At 34.8% G+C, this 25,493-nt stretch overlaps 1 protein-coding gene across 10 annotated transcripts in view, besides 1 other annotated feature; it reads left to right on the forward strand.

Annotated features, from left to right (window-relative positions):
* Window positions 1-25,493, forward strand: part of CCSER1 (coiled-coil serine rich protein 1) — a 1,477,902-nt gene that overhangs the window by 1,073,196 nt on the left and 379,213 nt on the right. The window contains exon 12 of one of the 10 annotated variants that reach the window (XM_011531942.3): window positions 12,707-15,761. The exons of the other annotated variants lie outside the window; for them this stretch is intronic. Within the exon in view, the coding sequence (XP_011530244.1) occupies window positions 12,707-12,742 (36 nt within the window). The 3' untranslated portion in view covers window positions 12,743-15,761. Of the gene's footprint in view, window positions 1-12,706; window positions 15,762-25,493 lie in introns of those variants that run through there. 10 annotated transcript variants of the gene reach the window in all.
* Window positions 11,374-11,992: an enhancer, noted in NCBI's record as "OCT4-NANOG hESC enhancer chr4:92133114-92133732 (GRCh37/hg19 assembly coordinates)". NCBI's record gives its function as "activates a minimal SCP1, AML or CMV promoter by ChIP-STARR-seq in naive H9 embryonic stem cells {active_cell/tissue: H9 hESC(naive)}" and the evidence as "EXISTENCE:reporter gene assay evidence [ECO:0000049][PMID:30033119]".

Below are 25,493 nucleotides of genomic sequence, written 5' to 3' on the forward strand. Positions count from 1 at the left end.
TGTATTAAAATTGACCAATTAAAGAAAAGTTTATTTTTTGCAATCAGTAAGTAATCTATGATACGTAATTTTACTATCCTGATGTGAAACAAGTAGAGTGGATGATTTGTACGCGTTTGGAACAGAGGCAAGGAATAAGCATTTAACAGACTCCAATGCCAAATAAAAAGCCTCTATATAGATGTTAAATTCTCTTTAATACCAGATTCATATTGTGGTTATGTAGATACATTAATTATACTCATATCTATAATGTATTTGATTGTGTTTAATTGTGTAATAAATGATGCATATTTCATAAAGTTATGTTGTTTATTAATCTATTATTGTAGTCTTTTACAAAATCTAGTTGAAAAATCTCTCAGGTATTTAGAAATATCTGGTTGGCTAAATGGAGAGGAAAAGTAGTATCAAGAACAATTTACAACCAACATTTTCTGACAGTTTACTATGTATCTGACTGTGTTAAACCCTATAGGTACCAGTCTCATGGAATCTTTATCACAATTTCCTCATGTGGCTGTTCTCCAGCATCCTCATATATAATGGTGCTCCCTACATAACTATTTCTATTTGGACATGACACACATTGCAAGAATTCAACTTATTTGTATTTCTAGGGAAATGCTAAGCAAGTTACTATTTAATAGTACTGGAGCTGGCTGGCTTAGGCCTGCATCTTGATCACAACTGAGTGAGAATAGATCTTCCACTTTGTATGTAGAAATAACCTATAAGCTCAGTTTCCATGAATAAATGAATGAAAGAAGCCTATAAGCTCAACTTCTATGAATAAATGAATGAAAGATTCATGTTAACATGCTGAAGTATATGGGATTGAAGGCTGGGTCACACAACCTACAACTATTTCAGATGTAAATGAAGGAGATGAATTAAATGAATTAAATGAACATTTATACAGGTCTTAAATTCAGGTTTAAATTTACAGATTGCACTAGGGTGTCAAATCTTGGAGTACAATAAATACTAGAATTGTATTTTACACTGCAAAAATATATCCAGTGTTTACTATTAGTTGGACTATTGTTGTAAACCTCAGAAAGGCAATATCGTGGGATTACAGATGTGATTACGTCTGAATTTCTGATATTCTTAGTGTATTGGTTGGTGGCATATGTATGTAAGGGGAATGGTATTGTTGACTGGTATAAGTGCTATGATGCAAATAAGTATTTCTTTTCAAAATGACATCAGTAGAATAAGCACTTTCTTTAGGATAATGAAATTCCAGCATAGTTGTCATAATGACTCAAATATAAAAACAATAAGGAGCCAAATATGGTTATTAACAATAGGCCATTATGGTTTATCAAATCATGAATTTATAATTTTTAATGATACATTACACTCTGCTAAAGTTGCTGAAGTTGGTCTTCACAAGTTATACTTCATTTGGTTCATCAGGACACAGTTCCAATGCTATTCCAATATCACTTTTAGCACTTTTTTGTCTCATAAATGCAATCAATAGAAATATGCCTAATGTAGATATTAATCTTTATAGGTGCCTACTTACATTAATTAGGTTATTTGTTTGGCTGTTCTGACAGTGATCTAAAATAACTGTCAAAAAAAAAAAAAAAGGCCAAAGTGTTGGGGAGAATCTGCCCTATAAAATAATCAAGCTTCGTATTTCTTATCTTGCTACTCTGCTGGGCTGAGGGATTGCCCCCATTTGCATGGTGCAAGATGGCATTGTAGCACACTCACACAAAAGGGAAGTTAAACACGTCCTTTCCACCTCCCTCTTTTAGTCCACGTCTTAGAATCATGGCCACTCCTTGCTGCAATGGAAGCTAGGAAATGTAGTCTTTACTCTGTACCTCTAGGAACCTCTATGAAAAAGTATATATTCCATGACTCTAAGACAGGACAGTATGGCTAATGGGAAGCAACTAGTAGCCTTTGTCACAATGTCAAGGATTTTTATTGATTGCCGAAAGAGGCAGGATAGTATTTAAAGATTTTATGTTGTTGTTAAAGAATATCTTAAAATCTCAAAGCATTATTACCAGAAAGGGCAATGGACCTTGAATTTGATGTTGACCTTCATAAAAATGTAGTCACTGTCCGTAGACCAAGAAATCAAAGAAATTGAGAGTATGTTAAATAATACAAACACACACACATATATGCACGTACACATATACACACTCATATATATGTGTGCATATATATGTGTGTGTGTATAGATATACACACTGTCTTTTTATTCATTATAAATTCTGTTTTCATTGGCAATTAGCACTTGTGATGAAACATCCAACATTGTTTTTCAGGATTTATGATTTCTTTTTCATCTTATTAATATGTTCTTTAAAGTATTTAAAGATTTTATGTTGTTGTTAAAGAATATCTTAAAATCTCAAAGCATTATTACAAGAAAGGGCAATGGACCTTGAATTTGATGTTGACCTTCATAAAAATGTAGTCACTGTCCGTAGACCAAGAAATCAAAGAAATTGATTGAAATATGGTTGAACTAGTTTACAGTCCCACCAACAGTGTAAAAGTGTTCCTATTTCTCCACATCCTCTCCAGCACCTGTTGTTTCCTGACTTTTTAATGATCCCCATTCTAACTGGTGTGAGATGGTATCTCAATGTGGTTTTGATTTCCATTTCTCTGATGGCCAGTGATGCTGAGCTTTTTTTCATGTGGCAGACTACTATCTTTTATCAAATAAGGAAAGATTTTTTTTCAAAGAGTTTTAAAAATAAATGTTGCTAGGAAATATTACTGTTTGAAACAAATTTAAAAGTTTATTGTAACCAGTATTTATTTAACAAATGTGTATTGATTGCCTAATACTACTCTTCTGTTCCAGGTATTGGACTATAGCAAGAAAAAAAATGGCCTCATGGAGGTTATATTCTAGAGGAATTAGATAGATAATAAACACACACACACACATACATGTGTCTGTATGTGTATATGTAAAACATAGATTAGTAAAATAGATCTGTATATACATGCATAAACACACATGTATACACACAGGAATGCTCTGCTAAAGCATGAATGCATATATACTATGTTAAAAAAAAACAGGGTAAAAGGAGAACCAAGTTTCTGGGTGGAAGAGTAAAGACCTTTGTGATAAAGTGATATCTGAGAAGAAACCTGATGAAAATGTAGATATTTTGAATCAAGTGGCATATTTGGTGAGATTCTGAAGAATCAATACTAGTTTCTATAGTCTACAGTGTTTTGACCATACTGATTACTGTCTGTTGAATCTACAGTTCATTAGATCTGAGAGTTTAATAGTGATTAGTAGTAAAAGATTAGTGTCTAATCATAGAATATATGTTTATGAAGTAATAGTGTTTGATAACTTTAAACTGCATAGAAAGCCTTCTGGGCATTTTATAATATTTTAATATATAGTTAGTGACTCAGGACATTAAATGTTTCCTGAGATATAATTTTTATAACTATTGTTAGATAACTAAATATTTGAACCAGAAATAACATGGTTGCCAAGACAGGTTTATTATTACCACTCTCTACAACATAAGACAATTTAGTCATTTATTGTTTTTATAAAGCTTAGGAATGGTCTCTGTCCTCAACGGGGTGACTTAAAAAATAAGTGCAGTAAAGCATTGCTACAATAACAATAGAAGGCTGTACAGGGCACAATGTAGACACAAATGTGGGGGAATGTAATTCTGTCTGGGAGAGGTGATCAGAGACCTTTTGGCTGACTTTTGACCTCATCAAGGAGCTTGCATAAATGGCGAATGAAATTGATTAAGCCATGAAAGAACATAAAGCCCTTAACTTCAGCATGCTTTGCTATATGTTCTGGAGTTTCATTTTGATGTGCTACTTTGGGGAAATCCCACCCCCCAAAATATGTATGTATTTGTTACTGTCTTTTCAACTGAAACCAAATATAACAATTTCAGTTAGTATCTCAAACATCTACTCTGGCTAATTTCCTCTTAATCAAGCCTTTAAAACTATCTTGCAAGATATAAATGTTTTGCTTTATACTAGGTTTTTGTGCAAGTAAATAAACTGAAAAAAAATCACTATTTTAATCATTAACATGTTCCCTTAAAATTAAGACATTATGCTGTTTGTAGAATTTACTTTTTCTTCAACTGAACATCATTTAACCATATACCTTCTCCTGCAATATTTCTTATTATTAGTTGCCAGAAATATTTTCTTAATGAAAAAGGTTAGCATGGGTTGTCTTGATACAAATCATAACTAAAGAAAAATATTGAAATTACATATTAATATTTTCTTTGGAAATAACTTGCTTTTGTGAATGAAATTAAACATTTTTATGATCTTTAAGTAACAATAAAATGCAGCACTTAAAAAGTTATATATGGATGTAACATTTCTTTATATTGCTTACTCTATTATTATTAACTCATTAAATTTTCCACACAGATAAATTAAAACAATAGTTATTATTATACATAAACATGTTTCAAAATTAACTGTGATTTATAAGATCATTTACTTTGAAATCCAATATGCAAATATTTATTAATAATGAAATTTGAAGACTCTTAAATAGGTTATTGAGATATTCTGAATATACTTGACATGAGTTAGTAATTAAATTTTTTCTTCAATATTAAATCAATATCAAATTAAAATCTTTAGCTCACAGTTTTGGTCATTAAAAAGTATTTAAGCTGTGTACTGTCTAATGAACACACACATTGTTTCAGGACGAAATACGTGACCTCAATTATTGTTAATAAGTATCAGTTTCTTTGATATATTTCAAGTACCACTAGAAATACTTATAAATATTATCTTTAATTACAGACAATTCATGTCTCTTTAACCTGGGGTCAGTAAAATTTAAGTTCATTTTACATGAGTGATGTTTAAAACAGCTAGTGACAAGAACCCTCATCATTACCATGTAAATTGATGATGGGACATTGAAGAGAGTCTCAGTTTTCTTCTTAAATTTTCACTAATACTTTTCCTTTACCAAAATCTATACCTTGACTGCTTTCTTTTCCTTCCTCCTTCCCTCCCTTCTTCCCTATCTTCCTTGCTTTCCTCCCTCCCTCCCTCCTACCCTCCCTTCATTTTCTTTCCTCCTTCCCTTCCTCATTCCCACCTGGCCTCCCTTTCTACTGACTCATGTTACATTCTCTATTTTTTGTCATTTTGAGGCTCTGGACATATAAAAATAAACGTTTTTTAAAAGATCATTAGACATTTTACTATTCAATATTCAATAAATAACAAATATTTATTGAGCACAGCTCTGTACAAGACGCTGTGAAAAGTACTGAGAATAGAGCAAGAAACAAGATCAACAGGAGCCCTAGCAATAAAGACAGTCTTTAAATAAATAATAAAAGTAAAGTAACATCTTACAATATGAGAAGTGCAGAGAGCTAAGGGAAAATAAAGCAAAGATGCGTAAGCTAATACAGACATCCAAGTAAAGTACCTTGTGGAAGTTATGTTTAAACTGAAACGTGAAAAAGATGAATCCAGAATGTTCGGGGAAGTGAACAACATATGAAAATATGGAATGAAGAGAGAGCATTGTCCATTGAATAAATAAGATAATTTTTCTGTTGCTTTTTAACACTCCTTGAAGATTAAATGGTATATTTTTGTGTTTGCTCCATCAAGAGAAGAAAAGACTCACAAGTTTATAACCACATCCACCCAAGGGATTCAGTAGGCATTCTTGTATGCTTAACAACATCCTGACCTCTAATGAATAACTTGGTCTTTGTGTTTCTGAAATGCAATTAGCCTCCTCTGCCTTCAAGGCGCTGAAAAGCGAGGAAAATGTTCTTTGGAGATGGGGTTTTTGTAGAGTAAAAAGGCACAGCAGGTTAAGGCCAAATCTCACTCTCAAGGCCTTGGCCAGTATAGAGATATTTGTTTATTTTTCAAAAAATATGTATTGAATACAATTACAACAATATAGAGAAGGCCTTGCCCTCTTGGAACTGAAATTCTAATAGTAAAACAGTGTAAGGGGCCAGAAGGGCTGGGGATTAGCAGGTAACTTTGGCAGATTGAAAGGCACTCTGAAAGACTCTAGCTCCTGTTTCAGGAAGCCACCTGCACAGGTATATCTATCTGGTCACAATGATACCCCATGAGGCAAGAAATATTGGTAACAAAGGCCATAGTAGACAGCCAGACTCTGTCCTGTTTCACAAGAGATACGAGAAGTACCTCTACTTTACTCTGCATATACCTTGAGAGATTGCTGAATTATTTTTGATTTGGTATATGTTTTGTACATGAATCTCTGGAATCAACTATTTGGGCATTATTTATATCCTATCTTAGACATTGTAGTACTCACCTTTAAGTTCCAAACAATTAATTGCTTGTAAGAAATTCTGGTCATTCAGCTGTCTCTGTCCAGAAAGGAAAATTAGGTAACTGCATGGATGCTTACTTGAAAGATATAAGATGGACCATGGAAAGGATGCTCTAAATAAAGGAAACAACGTTATGTAAAGCATGGTGGCATAATGAGTATTAGGAATGTAAATAGTTTGATATATCATTGGATAGAAGAAGGTGAGACAGCATTGACTATTAATTATGAGAGAAGGAACAATTAAGAGTTTCCTTTAAAATATTTTAACTTTTATTTTATGTTCAGGTGTACATGTGCAGGTTTGTAAACTTGTGACTCGTGGACTTGGTGTACGAATTATTTCATCACCCAGGCATTAAGCATAATTAAGCATAGTACCCAACAGTTGCTTTTCTTTTCTTTTTTTTTGGAACATCTCCATCCTCCTAACTTCCTCTCTGAAGTAGGCCCCATTGTCTGTTGTTCCCCTCTTTCTGTCCATGTGTTTTCGTTATTTAGCTCCCACTTTTAAGTGAGAACACATGGTATTTGGTTTTCTCTTCCTGCGTTACTTTGCTAAGGATAATGGCCTCCAGTTCCATACATGTTCTTGTAAATGACATGATCTCATTCTGCTTTATGGCTTCAGAGTATTCCATGGTGTATATGTACCACATTTTCTTTATCCAGTCTACTAATGATGGGCATTTAGGTTGATGACATGTCTTTGCTACTGTGAATAGTGCTGCGGTGAACATACATGTGCATGTGGCTTCATGGGAGAACAATTTCTATTCCTTTGGGTATATACCCAGTAGTGGTATTGCTGGGTCAAATGGTAGTTCTGCTTTTAATTCTTTGAAGAATTGCCACACTGCTTTCCCCAATGGTTGAACTAATTTCCACTCCCACCAGCAGTGCATAAGTGTTCCTTTTTCTCTGAAGTTTGCTAACATCTGATATTTTTGACTTTTTAATAACAGCCGTTCTGACTGGTGCGAGATGGTATGTCATTGTGGTTTTGATTTGCATTTTTCTAATGATCAGTGATGTTGTTTGTATTTCCATATGCTTGTTGACCACATGTATGTCTTCTTTTTAAAAGTGTCTGTTCATGTCCTCTGTTCACTATTTAATGGGGTTGTGTGTTTTTTGCTTATACATTTGTCTAAGTTTCTTGCAGATTCTGGGTATTAGACCTTGGTCAGATATAGAGTTCACAACAAATATTTTCTCCAATTCTGTAGGTTGCCTGTTTACTCTGTTAATAGTTTATTTTGCTGTGCAGAAGCGCTTTAATTAGGCCCCATTTGTCAATTTTGCTTTTGTTGACGATTGCTTTTGATGGTTTTGTCATGAAATCTTTGCCAGTTCCTATGTCCAAAATGGTATTTCCTAGATTATCTTCCAGGGTTTTTATACTTCTAGGTTTTACATTTAGGTTTTTAATCTATCCTGAGTTGATTTTTGTATTTGGTGTAAGGAAGTGGTCCTATTTTACTCTTCTACATATGATAGCCAGTTTTCTGAGCACCACTTATCGAATAGGGAGTCTTTTCCCTATTGCTTGCTTTTGCTAGTTTTGTCAAACATCAGATGGTTGTAGGTATGTGGCTTTATTTTTGGGCTCTCCATTTTGTTCCATTCATCTGCGTGCCTGTTTTTGTACTAGTACCATGCTGTTTCGGTTACTGTAGTATAGTTTGAAATCAGGTAATGTGATTCCTCCAGCTTTGTTCTTTTTGCTAAGGCGTTCCTTAGCTATTCAGGCTCTTTTTTGTTCTGTATGAATTTTAGAATAGATTTCTTCTAGTTCTGTGAAGAATGGTAGTTTGATAGGCATAGCATTAAATCTATAAATTGCTTTGGGCAGTATGACCATTTTAATGATATTGATTCTTCCTATCAATGAGCATGGAATGTTTTTCCATTTGTTTGTGTCATCTCTGATTTCTTTGAGCAGTGTCTTGTAATTGTTATTGTAGATATTTTTCCCCTTCCTAGTTTGCTGTATTCCTAGGTATTTTATTCTTTTTGTGGCAATTGTAATGGAGTTGCATTTCTCATTTGGCTCTTGCCTTGGGTGCTGTTAGTGTATAGGAATGCTACTAATTTTTGTACATTAATTTTGTATCCCAAAACCTTGTTGAAGTTGTTTATCAGCTCACGGATCTTTTTGGCAGAGACTATGGGGTTTTCTAAACATAGAATCATGTCATCTGCAAACAGTGACAGTTTGACTTTCTTTATTTCTCTTTGGGTGCCTTTTATTTCTTTCATTTGCCTGATTGCTCTGGCCAGGACTTCCAATACTACATTGATTAGGAGTGGTGAGAGTGGGCATCCTTGTCTTGTGCCAGTTTTCAAGGGGATTCTTTCAGCCTTTTTCTATTCAGTATGATGTTGGCTGTGGGTTTTTCATAGATGGCTCTTATTATTTTGAGGTATGTTCCTTCAGTGCCTAGTTTATTGAAGACTTTTAACATGAAGGTATGTTGAATTTTATTGAAAGCCTTTCCTGCATTTATTGAGATAATTATGTGGTTTTTGTCTTTAATTCTGTTTATGCGATGAATCACATTTATTGATTTGCATATATTGAACCCACCTTGCATCCCAGGGATAAAGCCTACTTGATCATGGTGGATTAGCTTTTTGATGTGCAGCTGGATTTGGTTTTCTGATACTTTGTCAAGGATATTCGCATCTACGTTAATCAAGAATATTAGCCTGAAGTTTTCTTTCTTTGTTGTGTCTCTCCCATAACTTCGTATCAGGATGATGCTGGCCTCGTAGAATGAATTGGGGAGGAGTCAATTTCAGAGCTCATTATTGGTCTGTTCATGGATTCATTTTTTTTCCCCAATTCAGTCTAGGGAGGATGTATGCTTCCAAGCAAAATATTTATATAGATGTGTATGTGTACAAATACACATACCTACATACATATACTCTATATTCTGCCTACTGAGAATGATTAGAAACAGCGTGCCTCAGTGCAATGAGCATACCTACCACCCAGATCTTAGCTTCTAAATTCTATTCTCTACTAAAATAAACAAGGGCTTACTGAGGAAATGGGCTACTCTAGGGCTAGGGTAGGGAAAGTACGAGATGAATCTGGAATATCTTATTATGTCACCAAGTGAAGATGTGCTCAAAGGATGATGAAGACATATCAGATGACCTAAAAACCTGCTTGAAAAGATTCCCACTTGCCAAATACGGAATACATTGTGCACCTAAACAAATGCTATTTATAACATTATAAATTATATATCTTCAATGGGTTATAGTGTTATATGTAAAGTCCTGTTATTATATTATATATAACATTATTTATATATATAACATTATAACCCATTGAAGATATGGGAAACCATGAATCTATGCTGCTATCAGTAAATAAAGGAATAAATTAAAAGTTTGATGGGGGATGTCATATTTACATAGCTTTAAAGTATCTCCCAATAAAATACTTATTAATTGGACAATTAATAAAAAAAGAGTTACAGTACTATGAAGAAGTTAATTAAATGATCAAACTGACACAATTGGAAGTGAGACAAATCAAAATTACCTGACTGGATGCAGGTGACAGTACACTGTGATTTTTTTTTTTAATACTCCTTCCAAATAAGCATAATATGAATACAATAAAACATAATTCAAACCCAAATAAAGGGACATTTTACAAAATAATTTCAAAATCTTCAAAAATGTTAAGGATATAAAATTCAAGTAAAAACTGAGGATCTACTGTAGATTGAAGAAGATAAAAGACAAATGACAATTATATGCACTACAATTTCCTCAGCTGAATCCATTTGCTGTAAAGAACATTATTTAGACAGTCTGTATAACTTGAAGAGGTCTGAGGATTAGGTGATAGTAATGCCGATGTCACATAAGAAGTTGTTAATATTGATGATTTTATTGTAGTTACATAGGATAATGTCTTTTTTCTGCATTAGAAATACACACTAAGTATTCGGGTGTGATCGGGCATCAGGTTGACAACTTATTCTAAAATGGTTTAGGAAAAATATTATTCTTAGTATTGGACTTGAAGATTTTATGTAAGTTTAAGTTTGTTTCAAAATGAATAAAAAACAAATTATATTGGGAAATGATTCATGATTTTGCTCAAGTGATTAAATGATCTCCCTTATGTTTGCAAACGAACACGGTGGCTGATATGTAGACAAGGTACTCGGAGTGAAGATAGAGAATGGGCAAAGGTAAAAAACCAAGAGACAAATTGAGATGCCATAGCAATAATTCAGAGGAAGATGATGGTGGCTTGAACTAGGGATATAACGGAGCAAGTGGTGAGAATCTGTTGGATTTGAGTTATATTTTGAAATGATAACCCACAATACTTGCTGGATGTCGAGTGTGTAGGAAAGACAGTGTTTGGCTTGGGATGACTTTAAGCTTTGAGAAAGGTTCTTAGACCTAGAGGCATTGATTAATATAGTTGTCTTTAACTTGTACATTTTCCTCTTCTGGTATTACTGCTTTCATCTTAATGGCATGATAATACTGCAAAAGTGTTCTGAAAATAATCTAAATTATTGAGAAATAAACTATTCATGAGTTATAGGACTATGTCTTTTATAAAAACCTTGACAATTTTATTACAGTTTACATTCTGTCAGTACGCATGTGGGAAGCAACATAGCATAGTGGTTGGAGTAAGTACTATGGTATTAGAAATGACTTTAGCTTTAGCTTGGGCAATGATAATTTTGGACAAGTTACTTTCTCAATATCCTCATATAAAATGAGGGATAATAATATCTACTTCATAGAATTGTGAAAGGATTAATTTAAAACAAAGTGATTAGCACTGAGCTAAATATTGTTGTAGTCACTATTATCAGTAGTAAATAGTGATAGAAAAAACATTGTGTGATACCTCCAAAGATCTCTAACAAACTCTTAAAGAAATTATTAGTTTAAAAAAATTTGTGGAAGAGAAATGGAAGAAATATATAAAATGCCACCAAGGATTACCATTGAAATTTGTGGCAGTGGCTAACAGGTTTTTCAAATTTCATCAGTTATGCACATTTGACATAGTTTGCTTGCATTCAAAACATGAAAAAACAGTAAAAATTTTTAATACCTCCTTGGTCTGGGAACATTGCCTTAAATTATGACCGTGTTTCTAAAATTTTAGATAAAAGCATTTGGTACAGTATTCACCTCAGAGAGGTGAGTGTTCTTGTTGCTTAGAACAGAACATACTTTTTCAATGCCTTCCTTCCTAATCCAACTTTATATTCCCTATTTAGTATGCCTAATCATTATTCTAGGGCTCGTTTGAAAACAGTTGTTCTTAATTGTAAAATTGAGCTGTGCTCCATTAAGCTCCTGCCGAGCTGCTTTTGAGATCCTTGGTGGTTTGGAATGTGGAGATGCATCCACATTCTCCCCTTGCCAGTCCTTTTCATCTTTCCTCTCTAATGCCATCCCTCAGTGTTTCAGCTGCTAAGTGGTTCTAGCGTATGTCTGATATAATTTTCTGGTGACTGATGCACTGTTCTCACTACTGATATGTCAGCAGGAATGCCACCTGTGTCTGGGAATTCAAAACCATCAGGACAGTGTATTTTAATGGAGCAAGAGGGAAAAATGTAGAATTAAATGGAAAGAAGCATTCCAGTTCTAACTTCTAATATTTAATTTTGGAGAAACTGTGAGGGTAAAAGAAAAAGTGAATGTTACATGAGCTTTTAAATTAACCCACAAAGAAACTGAAGTATTTTTTATGAAATTTTTATTCCTTTTTTAAATAATTTAAACTTCTATTTTAGATGCAGGAGGTACATGTGCAGGTTTGTTACATGGGTATATTGAATGATGCTGAGGTTTGGGGATATGAATGATCCCATAACACAGGTAGTAAGCATAGTACCCAATAGGTAGTTTTTCAGCCCTTGCCCACCTCCTTCTCTCCCTACTCTTATAGCCCCCAGTGTCTATTGTTGCTATCTTTATGTCCATGTGTATTCAATATTTAGCTCCCACTTATAAGTGAGAACACGTGGTAGTTTGTTTTCTGTTTCTGTGTTAATTTTCTTACTATAATGGCCTCCAGTTGCATCCATGTTATTGCAAATGACATGATTTCATTCTTTTTTATGGCTACATAGTATTACATGGCATATACGCACCACTTTTTTAAATCTAATCCACTGTTTATGGGCACCTTGGTTGATTCCATGTCTTTGAATGGAACTGGAGATCATTACGTCAAGTGAATTTTTTTTTAATGTAATGTCTCAACTTTTGATATGGATGTTTGTACATTTATTTATTCACTATTTGTGAATATCTAACTTTGTTTTGTTCTAGGGACTTGTCTGGGTACTGGGAAAAACAGAGATGTAGTGCTGCTTTCACAGAACCTAGAGTCTACTTTGGAGCATACAATTTTACCAAAATAGGTCTCCCAGCTTCAAGTCTACAAAGTTGTTTTATGGTGATATAGTAAAAAAAAGTTAATGGTAACATCCATTCATGTAAACATTCCAAATGAACTCTTTGCTAAATAATGAAGAATGCTTGTCCTCTGGCTAAATAATGAAGTATGTTTGTCCTCTGTAAAGTAGACATTGCACTTTAAGTGGCAGGCTTCTAGAAGTCCACAAGGCTTTTGTGGGGAGGAGAATGGACAAATTTGATTTAAGGATCAACTTTCAACTGCAAAATCAAAGAAGTATAAAAATTGTAGAATGAATTTACAACTTGGATTTACAAAATTAATTTGACAATAAAGTCATTGTAGCAATAGACACGGGATCCTTTAATAAAGTCAAGAAACTCAAGTTTCTAAACCTGATGTTGAGCTTCACCCCTATTCCCTATATCACTGGTGGGTTGGTATGTCATGTTTTCTCCACCCTCTGGACCACGACATTGTTGTGGATTCTTCCATGGAAAAGCCCTAACTGTTATTACTGTGCTTGTTATGTTGTCTCATGCAACAACATTCCTATATTTATGGAAATGCCAGACAAGTTTTGTCTGTTTGGGTTATAAATAAAACCTTTCCTCTACTTAGAGAACTAGACCTTATATGTGGGTTGAATAGGGGTCTTTTCTCTGGAATTAGAAAAGAGAACATAAATTTCACTCCTGTGCCTTTTGCCTCCCTCCTGTCACCAAAAAGATTGCCAGAGTTATTAAAGAAGAGCAGGTAACAAGGCAAGAGTCAGTGAGAAACCACACTTGAATTTCTTCTTATTCAAATTATTCTATCTGCCTAACCAATGTATGAAACAATAGTTATCTCCAGTTCGATAATCTTTACTCCACAGAGATTAAAGTGCCCACATAAATATGTAGGTATTTAATGAACTCACAATTTGTTTTTGTAATAGGTTACTTTTTGAGATATAATTTTAAAAACCCTAGACGAACACCCTATATGTGATCACTTAATTTCAGTACCTTTTGCCCATAAAGAGACCATCAACCAATTATTGTGATTCCTTCCCTACTTTATTATTCTCTAACATATTAGTCTGTTATATTATCTTGATATTCCCGAATGCTACTTAAAATTCTTTTATTTCTCTACCTATTCATAGTTCATATTTCCTTCTCTACTTTCACTAGACTAGAAACTACTTGTGAGCAGACTCTATTTTTCTTGTTCATGTTGAAACAACTCTGGTTAAAACAGAGCTTGGAAAATAGCATATTTACTATTCTGAATGAGTAAAAAAGTCAGTCTCCATAAATGGAACAAGATTATCTGTTCTAGAAGTAATCGTTTTTAAAAGAAAATGAGACATTTCTTCACCTACCACTTGCTATAACAAGGGCTTATTGGAAAGACTATTTATATATCAAAAGTAATTGTTTTTAAAATTGTTAATTAAATTTCAGATGTCATGTCAATTAAATCCTTTTACTTGAAATTTCATGAATTGAGATATTCAGTTAACTGGAACTCCATATGTATAATATGATGGAAATTTAAATTCACAATGGAAATATTGAGAAATTACAAGACTCTGAAATATCTTCTTGTCTACAGAAAATGAATATTGATTTAATAAAGTTTTAGAAGTTAAGGGATCTATTGTTTTTTCTTTAATTATCAACAACCCATTTATATATAAAGGGTATCCAGTGTACTTTAATTAGAATATTTAACTAATTAGTAGATGCCATTTATTATGATAAAATATACCTTTGTACCTATATATGGTGAGCCTTGATAAACATTACCGATTTTCTAAAGTTATTGTTATTCAGACACTTAAGAGTAAGACTACTTTGAAAGAAATAATGATAGCTGATAAATAGTGTTTGTATTTTTATTTTTCCTTGAAAAAGTCCAGTGGAATTGATAAAGTACATATGCCTTTAAAAAAGATACTATACATATTTATTAATGTATTAGGGTTCTCTAGAGGGACAGAACTAATAGGATAGATGTATATATAAAGGGGAGTTTATTAAGGAGCATTGACTCACATGATCACAAGGTGAGGTCCCACAATAGTCTGTCTGCAAGCTAAAGAGCAAGATAGCCAGTCTGAGTCCCATAGCTGAAGAACTTGGAGTCCCATGTTCAAGGGTAGGAAGCAACCAGCACAGGAGAGAGATGGAGGCCAGCAGACTAAGCCAGCCTAATCTTTCCATGTTCTACTGCCTGCTTTATTCTAGCTGTGCTGGCAGCTGATTAGATGGTGCCACGCAGATTTGAGGGTGGGTCTGCCTTTCACAGTCCACTGACCCAAATGTTAATTTCCTTTGGCAACATCCTCAAAGACACACCCAGGAACAATACTTTGCATCCTTCAATCCAATCAAATTGACACTCAATATCAACCATCATATTAAGTACATTAATTCTGAAGAACCCAATGATGATCTATGCTATTATTAAAATCCAATGATAAGTAAAAAACAGGATTTTTGTGTGTGTGCCTTGAGGATCTGCAAAGTGGCCAAACTCCCTGAGGACTTGAAAACTGCTTAATTTTCCCACCACCAAAATTTCAAATATGAGTTCATCTGTTTTGATCCTCTCCCTCTTGTAACAAAAGCGGTCTGTGTTCTGAATCTCATACACTTTGTCCTTCTCAAAACTTTTGCTTATTGGGTTACCAACCTTTATTTGACATCTCACCTCATTCCCAGATTTTCTGCTTGAATATTTCAAACAAGATGTCAACACTGAGCTTCCCAACTGATGTAATTTGTCAGACCTGCAGCTGGTCAAGAAGAACCTCCCATACCTGCCTCCTCCAGGCCTGCCTCTGGGAGCTGGCTCTCTTGTCAGTTTATCACAGTGCGCATAAAATGTTAATCACTTTCTTATGAGTAACATGATGCATTAAGTAGGGAAACACTGACTTTATAGCATTTTTTTGTTTGTTTGAGACAGAGTCTCGCTCTGTCGCCCAGTCTGGAGTGCAGTGGCACGATCTCGGCTCACTGCAAGCTCTGCCTCCTGGGTTCACGCCATTCTCCTGCCTCAGCCTCCCGAATAGCTGGGACTACAGGTGCGTGCCACCACACCCGGCTAATTTTTTTGTGTTTTTAGTAGAGACGGGGTTTCACCGTGTTAGCCAGGATGGTCTCCATCTCCTGACTTCGTGATCCACCCATCTCGGCCTCCCAAAGTGCTGGGATTACAGGCGTGAGCCACTGCGCCAGGCCTATAGCATCTTATTGTTATTTTTTTATGTTTAAGAGACTTTCCCTTAGCAGTCTTTCTTACACATAGGATACATACTTTCCTATATTATTTTACCCTGTTACATTTTCATAGTACTTTTTATACTTCGTAACTAAATCTTTACATGTTAATTTATGTTAATTTACCCACTTGTCCATTTTACCAATGAGTGAAAGGGGCAAATAAAACTGATACGCTTGGATTTCATCTTATTATCTTCTTGCTATTGTTTGGAACACAAACAATATTGATATGAGAAAGGGAGGGAGAAGGAAATTGATTAAGCCAAGATTTAGGGGGTATTGTGTCCGGAATTGGTGGGTTCTTGGTCTCACTGACTTCAAGAATGAAGCCGCGGACCCTCGCGGTGAGTGTTACAGCTCTTAAGGTGGCGCGTCGCGAGTCTGTCCCTTCTGATGTTCAGATGTGTTCGTAGTTTCTTCCTTCTGGTGGGTTCGTGGTCTCGCTGGCTCAGGAGTGAAGCTGCAGACCTTCACGGTGAGTGTTACAGCTCTTAAAAGCAGCGTGGACCCAAAGAGTAAGCAGTAGCAAGAGGGAAAGAACAAAGCTTCCACAGTGTGGAAAGGGACCCGAGCGGGTTGCCAATGCTGGCTCAGGCAGCCTGCTTTCATTCTCTTATCTGGCCCCACCCACATCCTGCTGATTGGTAGAGCCCAGTGGCCTGTTTTGTCAGGGCGCTGATTGGTGCGTTTACAATCCCTGAGCTAGATACAAAGGTTCTCCACCTCCCCATCAGATTAGTTAGATGCAGAGTCTCAACACACAGGTTCTCCAAGGCCCCACCAGAGCAGCTAGATACAGAGTGTGGATTGGTGCATTCACAAACCTTGAGCTAAACACAGGGTGCTGATTGTTGTGTTTACAAACCTTGAGCTAGATACAGAGTGCCGATTGGTGTATTTACAATCCCTGAGCTAGACATAAAGGTTCTCCAAGGCCCCACCAGAGCAGCTAGATACAGAGTGTCGATTGGTGCACTCACAAACCTTGAGTTAAACACAGGGTGCTGATTGGCATATTTACAAACCCTGAGCTAGATACAGAGTGCCGATTGGTGTATTTACAATCCCTGAGCTAGACATAAAGGTTCTCCACATCCTCACCAGAGCAGCTAGATACAGAGTGTCCATTGGTGCACTCACAAACCTTGAGCTAAACACAGGGTGCTGATTGGTGTATTTACAATCCCTGAACTAGATATAAAGACTCTCCACTCCCCACCAGACTCAGGAGCCCAGCTGGCTTCACCTAGTGGATCCCGCACCGGGGCTGCAGGTGGAGCTGCCTGCCAGTCCTGCGCTGTGAGCTCGCATTCCTCAGCCCTTGGGTGGTCGATGGGACTGGGCGCCGTGGAGCAGGGGGTGGTGCTTGTCGGGGAGGCTCCGGCCGCACAGGAGCCCATGGAGTGGGTGGGAGGCTCAGGCATGGAGGGCTGCAGGTCCCGAGCCCTGCCCCGTGGGAAGGCAGCTAAGGCCCAGCGAGAAATCGAGCACAGCACGGTGGGCCGGCACTGCTGGGGGACTCAGTACACCCTTGGCAGCCACTGGCCCGGGTGCTAAGTCCCCCATTGCCCGGGGCCAGAAGGGTTGGCTGGCTGCTCCGAGAGCGGGGCCCACCAAGCCCACACCCACCCGGAACTCCAGCTGGCCCGCAAGGGCCGCACGCAGCCCCGGTTCCTGCTCGTGCCTCTCCCTCCACACCTCCCTGCAAGCTGAGGGAGTGGGCTCCAGCCTTGGCCAGCCCAGAAAGGGGCTCCCACAGTGCAGTGGGGGCACTGAAGGGCTCCTCAAATGCCGCCAAAGTGGGAGCCCAGGCAGGGGAGGTGCCGAGAGCAAGTGAGGGCTCTGACGACTGCCAGCATGCTGTCACCTCTCAGTATGACTAAAAGTTGATGAAACTGATTTTTATAGAAGCTTACTATTTAGAACTTAATGATACATAACACTAGTGTACTTTGAGGAAATTTCATTGAATTGTTGGGCACAACTGTTGTTCTTGTATACTTAGCACTTTCCCCTTTGTTGTGAAGACAGAGCCCTTCTCTTGCTTTAGGACACTATACTTTGCATCGATCCTTCACCCACAGTAAGAATATCGATAATATTGCCTTGCTTATATTACCATAAGTGACCAACACTGGCCTATCTGTTTATCACCTACTCCTGGAAACTGTGATTGATTCAGAACTAACAGGTATACCAACCAGGGTGATTAGAATCCTATTCTTGGTAATTGACGTAATGTCAACACTAAATACGATACAAACCTAAAGCAACTGTGGCCATTTTGCTACCACAAAGAGAACACCTGATTAAGTATTAAACATACACAGAGAAAGACAAAAGACAGAACATGGAGGGAGAAAGAGTTCCAATAATCTCCTCCCCACACATAGATTCAGGCAAGCCTAAATATTCCTGAATTTTTCAGTAGTATAAATATTTTTGGTTTAAGCTAATTTGAATTGATGGGCTGTAATACAAAGTTTCTTAAATTTATTCTAATCATTCCTCAAAAACACATCTCAAAATTCATTTTCAAATATAATTGTTATAAAAGCCAGTATGTGTCCAATCTCACAGATGATTTTTACACTGGCCAATTTTCTTTGGGCAAATAAAAGTGAATAGTCAATATTTACAGTTTGGCTTTTTTTTTTTTTTTTTTTTTTTTAAAACAGTCTCTCTCTGTCACCCCAGCTGGAGTGCAGTGGTGCAATCTCGGCTCACTGCAACTTCTGCCTCCTGGGATCAAATGATTCTCCTGCCTCAGCCTCTCAAATAGCTGGGTCTGCAGTCGCCTGCCACCACACCTGGCTATTTTTGTAGAGATGGGGTTTCACCATGTTGGCCAGGCTGGTCTCGAACTCCTGACCTCAAGTGATCTGACCACCTTGGCCTCCCAGAGTTCTGGGATTACAGGCATAAGCCACCATGCCCAGCCCAGTTTGAATTTAAATTGTAACATTTATGTATTTAAGCTTTTGGTAGAAGGAAGTTAGGAAGAGATTCACAAGAACTTTCTCTGAGCTACATTCACTTAGGGCAAAAGATTCCTGTTGGTAACATGATATTTTTATCAGGATTACTGCTTCTAAAATAGTACAATATATTTATAAAAATTATGGAGAATATATATTTTTACCAACCTAAATCCATTAATTTTAATCACAAACCTATGATTGTTAGGATTAGTATCTGTCTCTCATATCTGTCTTAAAGAAACAAATTTATATAGATAGAAATTTCTATGTAGAGTATTTCCCATACTTTCATTTGACCAGTGTTTTTAGAACCTCTCTTAAAATGTAAATTTACTCAAAACGTCATATATAAATCAGTTAAACCTAGAGTTCTTCTAGTTCAAGTGAGAATGGGAGATCCACAGTTTATCCCTTTTGACCACTTCCCTCCCGAGTCACTTTTGGGAAGAGCATAGGGTTTAATGAAACTGTTGAACTATACTGGGCATGTTAAAACGTAGGCCAAAGGTAGCAAGTGACAGATAGATTATTATTGTACACAGGTAGTGTATTTTTATCCCCATCACATTGCTTGTTAACTACTGTCTTTTTAAATGTCATAAATTGAGAAGAAGTTTTTGTTTTGTTATTCTAGTAAGAATTGCCCCTGGAAATGTATGCTCGTTTCTTGCATGCTGCTGTGCTCGTTGAAAAGGTGGCAATGACCTGACAGATGGGACAAGGAATTTATTTTGCCTGAACAATCATATAGTTAATGGAACATTTAAAAATTGACTTTTTATGATTATGTGATTAACAGGAATAATTCCTTTAAATACACTGTTTGCTAAGAGCTAGAATACAATGAAGGTTTGGAATAGCTGTCTTCTGTGTCAAAAAGAGTGACAATTCAGAAACAGCTGAAATAAGTGATATGGGTTAAAGGGAATTGGTACATGGAATTTTCTTTGTGTAAGTAGTTTACTGTTCAGTGAGCAATTTACTAGTTCAACAACGGTAGCAGTGTCTTTCTCTTTTTTTATTTTTGGCCTACTTCACATAACCCTGCAAGCAGTTGTGCTGAGGGATGTGCTGAAAATAGATTTGCCAAAAGAGTAGGTTTTAGGTACACTTACTGAAAAAAAAGGAAAGAAAAGAAGGAAAATTTAAAAAGATAACTATATGAGATGATACATATGTTAATTTGCTTGACTGTAGTAAGCACTTCACTATATATACATATATATCAAAATATCATGTTTTACACCTTAAATACATACAATTTAAAAAACAAAATGTGAAAAAGTCATATGTACGGAAAATGTAGGATAAATGGTGTAGTTGAAAAATTAACTGACGTATTCAATACAGATATATTAATTTAGTTAAATAAACTAAAATCTCTAGGGATTAAGCTACCTTTATGATAATTTAGAATCCTAAAATTCTGTGAGATAAAAATATATAACATTTTGGAAGGATGGCCTCATGTTATTTTACATAGCATCATATATAACCTTTCAAACTCATATCAGTCTTTAGTAATTACCTTACCAGTAGTTCTTATTTATATTTGTCTTGTATTTTTTCTATCATAACATAGTTGTTTTCCTCTAACATCTCACTATCCACAAAATGCAGTCAATTTATTTGATTATGTGTAAGAAATAAGTAAATGCTATTTTACTATAAATATGATTTCTTTAAATAAGTTATCATGAATTTCCTTATTGAAAACAGTCTAATCCTCTGTTTGGCTGTGCATAGTTAGTAACTCAGATTTTCCTGTATTTCTATTATTATAGTACATAGATAGTATTGATCAAGATACACATTTATTAAAGAGTGTTATAATATTAAGAGCTTTAAAAGGTTATGCACATTTTCTGAGAAAAATTAATATTTGTGTATTTTCAATGGAATGAATAACCCATAGGCATGGATTGGAAAATAAAAAATATGCTTATCTGTTAATAAAATTATAATAACTTCATCAGGTCAAACACATATAGTTCGAACTGATCTTTAAAGTAATTACTCCCTTTTAATAGGTATTTCAGTCATAAGTTTAAAATTGAGGTTAAAAGATGTTCAGGTTCACTGCCAAGCATTGTGGGTATAGAGATGAGCAAGTTGTACACAGTCCCGGCACTCATATATATGCTCTAATGCTGGAAACAGTCCATTAATAAATAGCTAGAGTCCAGTGTGATAAGGTTATGCTCAGAAAAATGGGGTATACTATGGATAATTACTTATAAGAGCAAATTATGGCAAAAACATATTGTCCGAAAGGGAAATTGTTAAATAAATAAATTATAATGAATAATTGTGTTTTACTATAACTGAATATTCTGAATCTATTAAATATATTCTCTAATGCATGTTCTATGAAGAAAATATGCACAATAATGTTGTTACAAAGAAAAGGAGGAAAAATACATTAATTCTGTGTTATCTCCATCACATATACACATATATAAAGAGAGAGAGAGAAAATGTGGGGGAGGGAAAGTGTGGCTGCTACTGTGAACTGATTTTCAGGGCTGAATGAAGAAGCACGGATTATGCTCTGCAAGACAAGCAGAAGGAGGCAGCATATGCAGGAAGGTGAGCACAGCCGAGAGAGGCGTATTCCAGACTGAAACAAAGTCTGAGAGTGTAGTAGGCATCCAACAGCCATAATCGCCACCCTTGAGTTCTGTAAAACCTCTTTGAATCTTAAAATGCCCCCCTTTTACTTAGCTCAATTTATTTTCTATAATTTGTAGCCAAAAGAGCTTTAAGTAAGAGAGGTAAAAATGTTCAATAAATACAAGATTAGAAATTAGTATTCTATAAGAACTTATCTATTCCTCATACTATACCTTTTGGTGCCTGAGAATTGTGTGCAGATGAGCTTGCTTAACGATCTCAAATAAGCTTCCCATTATAATATTTATGCTTTCCCAGGTAAGGCCTCCCTTTCTATATTCAACTTTAAAGCCAAATTACTGGGTTTTTTTAGTATCTAAGATGGCTGAAGTAATAGGTGTTAGGGGAAACTGCCTTGCATTGCAGAACCATTCATTGAGCACTGCTGTCCAACAAAATTGTATGTGATAATGGAAATATTCATTCTGTGCTGTCCAGTATGATAGCCATTAGACATCAGTGACTATTGGGCACTGGAAATGTAGTTAGTACAACTGGGAAACTGACTTTAAATGTTAATTAATTTTAATGAATATAAAATAAATAGCCACATGTGGCTGGTGGCTACTATATCAGAGAGCAAAGCCTTAGAGTGTACCTATGAAAAATAGAGATATTATCAATGTTATCTTGGTGTAAAAAAATCACAACTATCTCTTATTTTCTTATGGACACTGGATATCTTCCTGATTTATAAGATATTAGTTGACATCACTAACTGAATCTTTAAAATAATGTTTTTTTCTTATTTTATTGAATACTCAAAAAAATGGAAAACTTAAAAAAATTCAAATTATGCCTTCAGTCTCAAATCTTATGAGTTTTGCTAAACAAAACAAAATGAAAGAAAAAGCAAGCAAACAGGAAAGAAAATGTAAAAATATATCAAGGAGCAGGCAATAGATAGTGAGTTCGTATTATTTCCTTAGAGAAATATTATTTGTTTAGAAATCAAATAAATTTTGAAGACATGTCTGAAAAGTGCATTGTAGACAATACACTATCATCGTCAAAACACATAAACATGTAGACACTTTGAGCCAATGTATCTACAGAAAAAAAAACATGTAGGCAATCTTTTTGGTCTCTAGAAGTCGGTTTAAAAGGTACATAAGTATAATAAAGAATTAATAATTTTAGCATATGATAGGAAGAAATCAGTAAGTGCTTAAAAATGAGTAAGTGCTGTAATAATTCCAAAGGGGGAAAAATCACTCTGGCACAGATGGCCTCAGAATACATAACTGAAATTTAGGTAGGGCCCAGATAATTTGCAAGGTGAAAAAATAGTTTTTAGGAGGGAAAACATAGCTGAGGATGGGTAGTGAGAAGGTATATAGGTCTATACAAGGGCAAATGGTGGGAAGATTTGAGAAGGAAGATTGGAGACACATAATGGATTTATTGAGGATGTCCAAAGAGTTTGGATTTCATTATTAATAAAATAGGATAAATCTGACTGAGTTATAGAGAAAATCCTTAAGAAACTCATAATATAGACACCAATCACGTCTGCATCTGTTAAATGAGCAACCACAGATGTATTGGCTAATTCAATCTATCATTTTCTGGAACGCACTTTGTCTATGCAATGAAGTTCATCCTTTCAAAAATGAAATATTTATTGAGTATAAAAATTAATAGTAAGGTACCTTTTTATAACTAAAAGATTATTTCCAAACAATATTCATATTTGGAAGGAAGGCTTAAATTCAGGCACTTCAGAAGTTGCTCAAAGTGGCTTTTTTTTTTTTTGGCAGAAATAGTGCGGTGACTGAGCTGTTCTTGAAAATATTAATAACTCCCGCGCTTAATGTGAGAGGAAAAGCAAACCAAAACCTTACTTGGCTTAGAAAGCAAATTCGCTAAAGCATGCAAGTTAGCATTGCTGCAAATCCACTCGCATCGGTCTACCTTTATCTACTGTGCTGCTTACATATATTTAACGAAATGGTAATTTATACAAAAGTATGCAGCACTTTAACAAGAAGAAAGAAAACAAAATTGTAAGTAAACTGTGGGAGGCAAAGAGATGAGGTCCTTGTTTAATGTTCATTCTTTAAGTCTGTGACTAAAAGCAAAAACGAAAACATTTTTCCATATTCTTCTTAGATTTGTCCAATGTCTTTGTGTGACAATGGAAATATTTTATATCTGCACTTTTCGTATGTGCTATTAGTCATATGTGGTTACTGAGCACTTGAAATATGACTACGTGACTAACTGAAATTTTAATTTTATTGTTTGAATTAAATTTAATAAGGCAGGTTATTTAATCTTATCTATATGGACAGCTAATTCATATCACATAGGACAAAAATATCAATAATTAGGAAACCTAAAGGGTCAAGTGTAAGTTTTGAACATTACATTCCAAATATACACTAACATCTCCCTTTATAAATGTGTCCAGCCTATGCTAAAATAATTTGGGCATTAAACATGAGAATATTTCCTTTCCAAATTCCTATCATTTCTTCTCATTGTTACTATTTTTTTTAACCATGAATAAATTCCTTGTGAGAGACTACAGTGAGAAAACAAATTTAACAATAGATTTGATGTTGACTCACAGGGATTAAGAATGAAAAAATGTGTATTAGGTAAATGTTAGAAGAGGCAATATTAAATATCTGCAAATTTATCCATTGAATTCCAATTTAACAAGATGCTACCCCTGAAAATACTTTTTATATCAAATCAATATTTTAAACATATATAAAATTTCATAATTTTATTTATAAAAATAGCAATGTTTTAGAATTTCTTATCACAGTAAGGTAGAATTCTTGAAATAAAATGTTACTGTGATAGAGTTTTACCTGGAAACAAGAAATATGATATATATATGTGTGTGTGTATATATGTATATAATTATATATAATATATATAATATATAATTGTATACAGTTATATACATGTATAATTATATACATATACATGTATATAATTATATACATTTTATATATGTAATATATATGTATATATATTATATATGTAATATATATGTATATATATTATATATGTAATATATATGTATATATATTATATATGTAATATATATGATATAATATATATATTCATATATATTATATATATGAAAATATACAGTATTTCTTAAATTTAAGACTGCAAATTATAAACTCAGGTGTAATTATGATGGATAGATACCTACATATTTTTTCCATAGGAATAAAAGGACAGGTAATATATTCCTGGATGTGAAAAGAGTAAACAGATTATTCAATTTTAAAAATATTTTTGATGTAGATTAAAACCTTTTAACTAAATATTGTTAAGAACCCACAAAGGAAGGCAGAATTTGTGTATTCTGTTTCTCTATGCCATTGACCTGCTGCATGTTTTGTTGCCATAACCTTAATTTTCAGTCTCTCATGTATTCATGCACAACCTTTATCCTCAGAGTTTGGTTTAAATCCTGATTTTGATGGTTTCAATCTGTGCGACATTGGGTAAATTGTCTTACATTGCATACTCAGAAAAAACCTTTAAAAGGGGTTAGAATGGGTTAGGAGCAGAGGTGATTCTTATGGTAGAATCTGAGTAACTAAACCTGAGCTCAGACTGCTATTGCAAGCATGCCACAAAAGGGAGGTAACATATGGTCTGAATAAGGGAAGTAGAAATAATTTGTAAGTTGACAGACAAAAACATTAGCAGAATTAAATTCCTTTTTTTAAAATTATACTTTAAGTTTTAGGGTACATGTACACAATGTGCAGGTTAGTTACATATGTATACAAGTG

The sequence above is a fragment of the Homo sapiens genome, chromosome 4 (genome assembly GCF_000001405.40).
Source record: "Homo sapiens chromosome 4, GRCh38.p14 Primary Assembly".
Classification (NCBI taxonomy): Eukaryota; Metazoa; Chordata; class Mammalia; order Primates; family Hominidae; genus Homo; species Homo sapiens.